This window comes from Homo sapiens, chromosome 14, assembly GCF_000001405.40.
Source record: "Homo sapiens chromosome 14, GRCh38.p14 Primary Assembly".
Lineage (NCBI taxonomy): Eukaryota > Metazoa > Chordata > Mammalia > Primates > Hominidae > Homo > Homo sapiens.
The window spans coordinates 46,578,091-46,589,693 of record NC_000014.9 but is presented as its reverse complement, the minus strand read 5'-3'; the positions used below and the strand labels follow the sequence as shown (position 1 = coordinate 46,589,693).

Below are 11,603 nucleotides of genomic sequence, written 5' to 3'. Positions count from 1 at the left end.
GATCTTGCTATTGAAACTAAAACACAATCTTACCGAGTGTGCATCCACCAGCGTAAATCAGTTGGAGTCATTTTTAGTCTTCAGGTCAATGTTTAATGTTTAGGGAAGAGCCTGTGGTAGGTTGGCCTACTCGAACCATGTGGATGTAGAGTAGGGAAATACTGATTTTGCAAAACCTCTGACTATTACTAGAACAGTGAGAAAGATACTGAACAGCCCAAAGCAATAAGGTTATGTATAGATATCGTTATTCACCTATTTAAAATAATAAAGATAAATTGTGTGTAATTTAGATATACTTACATGTTGACAGTAGCACTGTAAATATCATCAATCTTTTAGGAGAGCCAATTTCTTATATGTAATATGTCCTAAAGAAAATTACTCACATACGGTATTTCCCCAATAAAATACTCCTTGGGAAATGTACTCCATGGAACTTGTCCCCTACTTCCTCTGTCCCTTATTTTATCAAAATATTTTGAGAAGTGATATTTATTACTTTGAATATGAAAAAACACTCAAATGGCCCATAAGACATGTCTAAGCAAATTGATTCTGCATAATATGAAACAGTAACTGTGAACAATGAAAATCCCTCAAGACAATGAGGCAGGAAAATGGGGTCCCGAGGCAGGGAACATAAGGCCAATTCACACTTCAGCTATGACAGGAAATATCATCTCTATAGGGTATAGGCCAAGTAAATGACTTTGTAACTTTACTTCATCTTCTTCATTTACATAGGGCTTACCCCAAGTAACCAATGGAATCCTCTAGAGGGTATTTAAGCTCCCCAAAATTCTTTAATGGGGCCCTTGAGCCCCTTTGCTCGGGCTCACTCCCACACTGTGGAGTGTACTTTCATTTTCAATAAATCCCTGCATTCCTTCCTTACTTTGTGCATTTTGTCCAATTCTTTCTTCAAGACACCAAGAACCTGGACACCCTCCCCTGGTCACATGTTTTGGTGATCCAGCCAGGAGGAGGAGGTAAGCCCTAAGTTTGGGACTTAGTTTTCTCCTGTCTCCTTTTCCCTTTTGCTGCATACTGGGGAATCAATCTCTCTCTCTCTCTCTCTCTCTCCTTTCCAACTCAGGACTTTTGGTGGGAAGTACCTAAACGTGGAAGCAACTGCAGGTTTCTGGCCATGGCCAATGAAATTAAGGGGTTTCCATGAGGAGAAGCCTAACTGCCACCACCCAGATAACTTGAGGGACCTGGGTCTTTTTCATTTTTGTCCTCTCTTTCTTTTTCAGCCTTTCAGCAGCTGTTTCCTAGTAGCTCCTTGGAAATTGAGGGCAGTCGGCTGGGGTCCCTACCTGGTATTCCCTAAAGGCCTAGGAATGAATGGAAATAATTGCCCTGCCCAGAGCGGGAAGGACTCTTTTTTTTTTTTTTTTTAATCTTTTCTGCCCTTGGTCACTGATCACTACATGTGGTGCAGCTCATAGCAAACTTGCACATTTTTCAGGCTATTTATACCTTCTTATCTTATGCTAAATTCTTCCTTTCCCCTATTCACCTGGCTAAGGGCAAAAGAAACCCACCCAAACTTCAGTTCCTATCATTAAAGTTCATGGAATGGGAAGCATGGGAAGGTGTGGCTTTATCAAATTATAAGAATGCTGAAAGTTGGGAATTACACCCAGGTACCAAAGGAAAGCTCATTGTAGGCTCTGGAGGGAAAGCATGTAAAGTGGCACCAGTGCCCACCTAAGGTCAGAGACTACTGACACTAAGATTGGACCCCACAGGAGGACACTCTGGGGGATCCAGTGTACCTCAACCCCTCCAAAGAGGATGCTCTTGGCATAGGTTCTGAGGTCTAGTATTAAAAGTATTAAACCCTCCTTAGAATTTTCTCTCATCATTGCAATGCTTTTTGGCCCCAATATTGTTTTGAATCTGGAGTTTACGGTCTACTCGGTAGTGGGATGGCATTGCATGTATCCAGGCTCTTGTGCTGCTGTCCTAAGCAGGGGGCCTAGTTAACATGTGACACCCTCCTTTGGTACTATTTGGCCCGAGTACTCTTTGGAGTCTGGGGAGGTTTGGCCCCTAAAAATGAAACTGCCATGGAGACTGCTTTACCCGAAATTTTGGTTCACAGCCTTCATTGGATTATCTATTGGGGCGAAGTAAAACTGGCAAGCTCATATTGCTGTCTCATGGCTGAGGTTCCAAGCTATTGGATCTTCGTTTATGTGTGTCCATACATGTCTAGATGTGTTTATTTGTATGTACACTTATTGTTATATGTTGTGTCTACCAAACTGGCTTATAAGTAAAATAAGTCTAAGCATTTTTCAAGTTCACGTGACTTAAAGTATAACTTTACTGAACAAGCTAGCTTTAAATTTTTGGTGGAATAAAAATAGAAATGCCTTCGGAATTGTCAGCATACATTTTGTCTGAATTTTATGTTTGTCTTTGCTAGATATTTTTAAATGTCAGTGTTAATTTCAAGCTGAGAACTGCTTGGGGTGAGCTTGCCTCCCATTCTGTTCAAAGTCTCACTGAGATAAATGCATATCTGATTACTTCCTTTGGAAAGGCTAATCAGAAACTCAAAAGAATGCAACTGTTTGTCTCCCACCTACCTGTGATCTGAAAGTCCTCAAACTCCCTCCCCAACTCGATTTGTCCTGCCTTTCCAAACAAATCAATGTTCATTTTACCTATGTGGATTGATGGTTCATGTCTCCCTTGTTAAAAGTGAAAATTAGGGCTAGGCACAGTGGCTTAAGCCTGTAATCCCAGCACTTTGGGAGGCCGAGGCAGGCGGATTGCTTGAGGCCAGGAATTCAAGACCAGTCTGGCCAAGATGGTGAAACCCTGTCTCTACTAAAAATACAAAAAGCCTGGCATGGTGACCCACGCCTGTAATCCCAGCTACTCGGGAGGCTGAGGCAGGAGAATCGCTTTAACCTGGGAGGCAGCGGTTGCAGCGAGTCAAGATCTCACCACTACACTCCAGCCTGGGCCACAGAGTGAGACTCTGTTACAAAAAAAAAAAGTAAAAATTAAGTACAGTGAATGGGATAAATATTTTAGGTTAACTTTTTGTGTAAATTAAAATCTTAAACTTATTTTTGATGCTCATTTAATATCTGGGTCATTTCCAATTAAGAAAGGATTATGATATGGGAAATATGTTTCTAAAATTGTGGAATAGTTCTGATCTATAAATGCTCATATCTGATAGGTCAGGATTTCTTGCTTTTTAGGGTTTCACTAAAGTTTTAGGTTACTAAGGATAAAAATTCTAGTTCTAAGGACAAAAATTCTGTATACAAAATGTGCCATAAAGGGTTATGTTATTAGTGAAAAAAGAATAATTTTGTCTAATTCAGAAGTTATCTAAAAGTTAGTTCAAATTACAGATTTGCAAAGGTTACTTATGAAACAGTGTAGTTAGGAGTTATTAAGTAGGGGAGAAAGATGTGGAAAAAGTTTAAATAATAAAATATATATTTTTTTGAGATGGAGTCTCGCTCTGTCACCCAGGCTGGATTGCAGTGGCGCTATCTCGGCTCACTGCAACCTCCACCTCCTGGGTTCACGCCATTCTCCTGCCTCAGCCTCCCAAGTAGCTGGGACTACAGGCGCCTGCCACCGCGCCCGGCTAATTTTTTCGTATTTTTTAGTAGAGACGGGATTTCACCATGGTCTCGATCTCCTGACCTCATGATCCACCTGCCTTGGCCTCCCAAAGTGCTGGGATTACAGGCGTGAGCCACCTCGCCCAGCCTAATAAAATGTTTTTTAAAACCTGGTAGAGAATTGGAGACATTTGGCTAATTAACACTTTCATAGTTAAAGCTCTTAATCTTGATTAAAGTAAATTAAAGTAAAATAAGAAGTGTCCAGGTGTGGTGGTGTGCACCCATAATCCCAGCTACTCAGGAGGCTGAGGCAGGAGAATCGCTTGAACCTGGGAGATGGAGGTTGCAGTGAGCCAAGATCATGCCACTGCACTCCAGCCTGGGCAACAGAGCGAGACTCCATCTAAAAAAAAAAAAAAGAGAAATGCATTGGCAGTTTGGCAATTCATTTTTTAATATAGTTAAGCATGAAGCTGGATTTAGTGTGAGGCCAAGTTTCATATACGTGCCTGCATTGCTTCACACTATATTTGCCATTTTGTGTGGATAGTGTTAGAGTACTTATTGGTCATGTGCCTAAAGTGAATTTCTTGATTGCACAGGAGATATGACAATATTGGTGAACGTAAGGGTATTTAATTGTGTATTAGGAATAAAATACTTATTATGTGGGTTTTCTGAGACCCTAGGTAACACTGTAGTCTTCAGGGTAAATTAAGTAGAAAAATTTAGGGTTGGTTTCCTGTTTGTTTTAGCTTCTAGTTTTCATTTGTTTGCTGTTTACTCTTCATTTATCTTAAATTCCTAGGCTACCTTTGGCCCACAAGAACTGATAGAGCACATCAGACTTTTAACCTTAAACTAACTTTGGATTTTAGGCTTCCTGATACTTTAAGTGTATTGAGCATACTTTCATAAATGGAATTTGAATCATATTTCTCTCTCTCTGCCTAATTGGTCCAAAATTTGTAAACTGTGAATATTCTTAACTCATGGCAATGTGTTTGTTTGCATACAGTCAAGCAGGGTCACTAGGGCTGCTCAGGGAGAGAGAGCCCAGGAACCTGGCATGCCAGCAAAAGGGTAAGAATTTCTTACCAGCCAGTCTCTGGCCTCTTTCTCTCTATGTAAACTGGTTAAATAAAAGGTATAAGTCACCTGTTTATCTCCTCTGTAAAGTTTTACATTAATTTGTTTAATAATAAGAGCTTAAATCAAATACTTTGTCAGAAAAGTGAAAAACATAATGTCTTTTATTTAGTTCATGTGACTTGAGTAATCTTTTGGGAAATAAACAGTTTTAAAGATTATTGGTAAAATACAAATGTCTTCAAAATGTAAACATGTGGTCTAAATTATGTTCAAATCTTAGGTTTTCTAAATACTTTAAAGTCATAAACTGTTTCTTTGGCTTTTGAAAATTGTTTAACTTGCCTGCTTTCCAGCTAGGTAAGGCCTGGGGACATGTGGAGTTGGCCACATCTCTCTAGCTATGCTGGAGATAGTCAAACCTTTTCAGAACATAACTTTCCAGGTTTTATGTTAAAATTGCTAAGAGTTGCCTTTGTAACATGCAATTATGACTACTAGAAACAATTTTACATGCAAGGTATGTAAGAACAGTAAATTGTGTTTTTTTTCCCTGTAAAAGGTTACAAAAGGTTTTTGCTTCTTTAAAATTTCTGAGTCATCATTTTGGCAAAATATATAATTTATGGGAATCTGGAATTCCAAAGTCAAACTTCAGTTTCAAAATTCTCTTTCTGAATGCCTGGCTTTTTGGATGGATCAGAGAGCCCCTGAAAACATCCAGAAAAGAGGTAAACAGAATTATTTGACATTTTTAGGTACATGGGATTGCTAAAATGATGTTCAGTCTTCTTTAGGTTATATTTTTGTGAATAATGCTAATATATGTTCCAAAATTGCATGGGATTTCTAAAATTCTAATGTCTAAGTATGGTTATTATGTTATTGTAATAACCAAATTAAATAATTAAATTAAATAACCACAGGAATAACTAAATTTCCTTGTCAGTGCTATGCACCTAATTTGGAAAAACTGGTATTCAAGAGCATAGAAGTCTAATGTTGATTAAGTATGGACTCATGGAGAACCAGATGGCCTTCTTGTCCTTCCTGAGTCCTTAAAGCTCTTATTATTAAAAGTTCTGCATTCCATGACTCATCATGGAAAAGATAAAATGATCCAGATTGAATACAATGGTGTAGTGACTTACAAATTACTAAAATAGTTTATTATCAGTGTTTGGTCCTATATGCCTGGGAAAACAATTAAAGCTTCAGGTACATTTGGTCACCTGGTGGGCCATTTAAACCTTTTATAAAGGGATTTCATTCAATTGTTATTTTCCATGCATGTTTTCTGGTTGTATAAAGCTTTCCCATGCGAGAGGGCTGATGTTGTAACAGTAGATTATTATGCAACAGTGTATTTTCAGCAGGTGAAAAAGCTTTTTATGTTTTGGATCTTCCGAAAACATCAGCGAAAGACTGTCCTTGCCATCCAGACTACAACAAAAACTTTAGGACCTTGAAGTTTGGGTTCATAATCTCATAAATGAGAAGGGTCCCTCTACACTCTCAGAACTGTACACCCGTTGGAACCCTTAAGGTAAAACTAACCAGGGAAATGTCTTCCAAGAAAAAGATGGAATCCTTAATGTGAATAGCTTTTCCCAAGTTGGCAGATGAAGACTTCTATCATGAAACTCTTATCTTTGAATATTTTCCCTTGCTTATGCCTTTATAAACAATACAAGTGGAAAAGGGGTCTGTTACGTGCACTTACGGGGTGTACTTTTATTTGTGAAGAAGTTTATAGCCAGCCTTATACATAAACTTATACTTTGATAGATAAAAGATGAAGGCCCAATGTAGGTAAGGAACTTTAATGGTATGTACGTTGCCTCATAATCAGTCAAAAACAAAACATTGGTTGATTCCTCTTAACTCACATCATGGGTTAAAGAGAACATTGCCAGGAGGCCTTCACTCTTCTAAAAGGGATCATTTGTTAGTTCCTTTTTCTGTGGTTTAAAGTAAAAGAGGCAATGATTAGAAATGTATTTCCCATGATAACATCTATAGCAAATTCTACTGTAAAGGCTACAGTTATGCAACAGACTTTAAATTCTTTTGTGAAAGTTATAATAGAATTGGCTAAACAAAGAAGCAGCTGTGCAGCCACTAGCACTTGTGGCCTATGGAAAAATACATCAAATGAAGATTATAGAAATTCAGTGGTAGGGGATTAACAAAGAGACTACTTAGTTAAGTGAGCACACTCTTTATCTAGCTTATTTTTTGATCCATTTGATTTTAGGAGGTTTGGCTTGTGGTGACCTTGGGTAAGCAGCATACTCCAAACTCTTGGTATTATCCTCCCAATAGTCATAATAATAGTCTCCCTGGTGCACTGTATTTTCTCAAAGGTTTTAAATGCTTACATGCAGCCATCTGTAGAATGTCATGTGGTCTGTCTTCAACTGGAATGACAGGAGCTAAAAGAAATGTGCAACCATGAGGACACAGTAACCTAAGAATGACGTGTTAAGACAGGAAACCCAAAACGATGGTAACTGAGAATGGTGCTAAGGCCCTAAGTTTTGGTCACACTCTCACCTGAGTGAGAACCTGACCAAAAAGGGGGAGTTTTTTGTTTTTGTTTTTGTTTTTTTTGAGACGGAGTCTCGCTCTGTCGCCCAGGCTGGAGTGCAGTGGCGGGATCTCGGCTCACTGCAAGCTCCGCCTTCCGGGTTCACACCATTGTCCTGCCTCAGCCTCCCAAGTAGCTGGGACTACAGGCGCCCGCCACTACGCCCGGCTAATTTTTTGTATTTTTAGTAGAGACGGGGTTTCACCGTTTTAGCCGGGATGGTCTCGATCTCCTGACCTCGTGATCCGCCCGCCTCGGCCTCCCAAAGTGCTGGGATTACAGGCGTGAGCCACCGCGCCTGGCCGGGGGAGTTTTTTTTAAACAAAATTCTGGGGACCATTGTTTTGGACTAAGCTCATGCACTAGGCCCCAACAGACCAAACCAAACAAAACGGAGTTGCTTGTGTGTTAAGAAAACACATAGGTTCTAGAACAAACCAGATTTTGTTTTTTTTCCTGCTGCAAATCTTTGTAACAAACATTTTTGATAGCATAGGTATCCACCCCATGAAGTTCACAATCTTTTAACCAAATTCATTTCCTCTTGCCTAGAGACCATCAAGCTTCACATCATCATGCAACAAAGGTTCCAGCCAGTTCCAGGTGAAGACACCACCCCTGGCCATCAAGAAGCTACCTTGCCTTCACCAGACAGAGCAGGGTGAGAGTTCCATGATCCTCAGTAGGTAGGGACTACACCTCAAGCCAGCATGAAGCAGATACAGAAAAAAGATCATCGGTTTCTCTGCCTCCCATAAAGATTTATGGGGTCACATCTCTCATGGGGGAGATGAGGCAGGAAAAGAGGGTCTGAAGGCAGGGAACATAAGGCCAATTCACACTTCAGCTATGACAGGAAATATTGTCTCCATAGGGTGTAGGCCAAGTAAATAACTTTGTAACTTTACTTTATCCCTTCATTTACATGGGGTGTACCCCAAGTAACCAATGGAATCCTCTAGAGGGTATTTAAACACCCCAAAATTATGTAATGAGGCCCTTGAGCCCCTATGCTTGGTCCCACTCCCACACTGTGGAGTGTACTTTTATTTGCAATAAATCCCTTAATTCCTTCCTTCCTTTGTGCATTTTGGCCAATTCTTTGTTCAAGACGCCAAGAACTTGGTCGCCCTCCAGTGGTGACAAGAAGAGACTACAGATTTCTTCCTCGTGAAAATAAGAAAACAACTAGGAACTTTCCGAAATTTCTGTAGTATGTTAAGCAGAGGGAGTCAAGTTGAAAGAAAAGGCCATTAATGCTGAAACACCTATGATGTCATACTTGAAAAGGAAGGACTTTCAGAGAAATATGTAAATAATTTCCTCCCATTCTGTCCCAAGCCAAGGGAAGAAGTTTCTGAAAGTAAGAGCTTTGGGTGGGTAATTGCGTGAAAATTGGAATGGGACAAACAATATTGGTGCACCAAATGCACTTCAAAAGGTAAAGTGAGGAACTTAACATTACAGGTTCCTGATATTGCTAGTATGAAAATGAGATGAGGCAGAATCTCTAACTAGTTTCGTCTTGATAAAACACTCAGGAGTGAAAATCACTAAGGTGATCAGCTTTTAGTCTAACCCTACTTTCAACTGATAACTTATAGCTCTTACCAAATGAAATCACTTCTAAGAAACCACAGCAGGGCCACGGGAGAACCTGGCCACCAAAAGGCCTAGCTGCAGCATTTTACTCCCAAGTTTACTTATTCAGGAAATTCAATTCAATTCGTTCATTGAATGGATTGAACTTTAATACTAAACTGGGCTCATTGCCACTTCCTGAGGATTGGTCAGATGATCATCAAAATCAATGAAATATTGATCTATACAATTGCTGAAGGAGTCCAAGCAAACTACCAATATGTCAATATGACCCACTTGGTTTTTTTTAATCAAGGGTGCATATAATAATTCCCTGAAAAGCTTTCTTAAAATACCCTGGATCATAGGCCTCTCTGGATTTCCTGATTCTGATTTGGGACATGCCAAGATGTGTCAGGTAAGCACATTTTTAGAAAATAAAAATCTCAATATGTAATTATGAAGCATAACACATTTTGAGAACTACTGATGTAGATTATCACCTGCAAGCATAAGTAGATTCGGTACAGAGGTTGATTCAGTACAGAGGTTGAGGTCCTCGGATTCAGTACAGAAGCTGAAGTCCCTAGGGAAAGGGAGTTGATGCCAAATGCAAAAGATTACATTAATAATTTGTCTTAGACAGCTCAGCTACCATAACAGAATACCACAGACTGCAGGACTTAACAGAAATGTATTTTCTCACAATTCTGGAGGCTTGTTCAACTCCAAAATTTGTTTCCTGGTGAGGACCCTCTTCCTGGCTTGCAGGCAGCCATCTTCTCACTTTGTCTTCAAGTGGCAGGTGGGCGAGGGAGAGAGAGAGAAAGTGGTGAGAGAAAGTGACAGAGAGATCTTTATTTTTTAAAATAAATCTACTAATTCCATCATGAAGACTCCACCCTCATGACCTCCTATAACACTAATTACTTCTCAATGACTCATCTTCAGATAGCATCATATTGGGGATTATGGCCTCACATATGAATTTGGGAGACAGGGGGACATAATTAAGTTGATAGCATAGTTTAATTTGTATTCTCAGTGTGATTCAAGATGTCGTTAAATTAAACTATCCAGAGCAGGCTCTAGTACAAAATGAACTATCAGAGTAACTTTTAGATAAAAACAGTGCAGGAAATTCTAGCACCATGCTTGAAAATGAGTGCAATACAGAAAAATTATAAAGAGAGAAAAACTATGGAAAAAAATTATCAATTTGGGAAAAAATAGGAAGAAAGAAAAAGTAAGAAAGCAAAATGAATATAAGATATTGAAAATGATAGAAAACTAATACCAATCACACATGTAATTGTAACTAATAAGTATAGGTTAAATAGAAGTGTGTTTTTTGTTTAAAGAAACTCATACTGCATAAAAAAGATTTTAAAAATGAGATAAGTAAAGGTATAAAATTCATCTAACATAAGTAATTTGATGAGTGTTCAAACTTGCTTTATCTTTTTGTTTTTGCAAAATTTTAACAACGGAAGATAGATTAAATAATTAAGTAATTAATAATAGACTATTATGCAGCTATAATTAAGGTCAGGTTATAAATACTTGTATAAACATGAAAAGATTTCCCTGTCATACTGATGAGTTAATAACTGACTATATAACAGTAGTTATAATTGGCTTTCATGGAATAAAACTAAAAATAATGCTATTTGATTGATGAAGAATATGTGGAAAGACTTTTGATGTCCTCTTACATACACATCTATATTCTTTGAATTTTCATGTCATACATGTACTATTTATTTTAGAATCAGTAAACAAAAATATTTTATCACAAAATGTAAAGAATTAATAAAGTATGAAGAGTAAACAACAGATGAATGAAATAAAAATCACCTATGATCCTTCCAGAACTACAAGCATTAATAATATTTCAGTGAACCATACTGTATTAATCTCTGTGTAACCAGTGCCTAACACAAAGTCTGATATACAATACATGTGCAATACATATTTGTTAAATGGAACTGAACTAAGATGCTACCGTGGACACTTATATAAAAGATCATGTTAAATAATAAGGTTCTATATACTGCTTACAATATTTGTAGTGATTGCAATTATGTAGGCAAGTATAGATAATGTATACACTGTTAATAAACACTGAAAGAGAATCAGGAGTAATGGGAATATTTGGAATACTATATTTATTATTTTAATCAAAAAACATTTATACCGTTTTTGTCTGGTCCTATTCTATGTGCTTCCAGTAGTAATAAAGGCAGCCAGGTTCCTGCCTTCCTGGATCCTGCAATCTAATAAAAAGACATAGGAGAAATAAAGAAATAATAAAGGAGATAATTACAGATTGGTGTAAATTCTATAACAAATAACCAAGGAGGGCCATTATCGGACACATGTGCTGGGAGAGGAATTTAAAGGAATAAGTACAAAGGCTTTACAAGTGATGGCATAGTCAAAGAAAATTCACTAGAATTAGCTATCAGTGCTTTGGGGGAGAGGAAAAGGAGCTGCAGTAAAAGAAATGGGAAGATAACAGGTAATCCAGGTATTTGCACTCACAATAAAATATTTGAATTTTGTTCAATATGCAATTAGAAACCACTGAAGGATTTAACACAGTGACATGATTTGGTTTATATTTTGACCTTTTTAAAAAATATACATTTTAATAAGATCATCGTGGCTCTTCTGTGAGTTTAAAATATTTTGAGAGGTAGATGCAAGGATGGAAAATAAGAGATCAGTAAGGA

General features: G+C 38.1%; 2 long non-coding RNA genes across 9 annotated transcripts in view; one reads left to right on the top strand and one right to left on the bottom strand.

Moving 5' to 3' along the window:
* The first annotated feature begins 4,040 nt into the window (after positions 1-4,040).
* Positions 4,041-11,603, top strand: part of LOC124903309 (uncharacterized) — a 98,633-nt gene continuing 91,070 nt past the window's right edge. For 3 of the 8 annotated variants that reach the window (XR_007064142.1, XR_007064144.1, XR_007064141.1), the window contains exons 1-2: positions 4,041-6,243; positions 7,840-7,948. This is a non-coding gene — a long non-coding RNA (uncharacterized LOC124903309). Of the gene's footprint in view, positions 6,244-7,839; positions 7,974-11,603 lie in introns of all 8 variants that reach the window. The other 5 variants (XR_007064139.1, XR_007064140.1, XR_007064146.1 and 2 more) reach the window with 4 other exon arrangements.
* LOC105370480 (uncharacterized) lies at positions 6,881-11,175 on the bottom strand. Its single transcript, XR_943827.3, has 4 exons — positions 11,066-11,175; positions 9,575-9,660; positions 9,372-9,454; positions 6,881-7,132 (listed from the first exon to the last, which is right to left on the bottom strand). It is a non-coding gene; the product is annotated as an uncharacterized LOC105370480 (long non-coding RNA).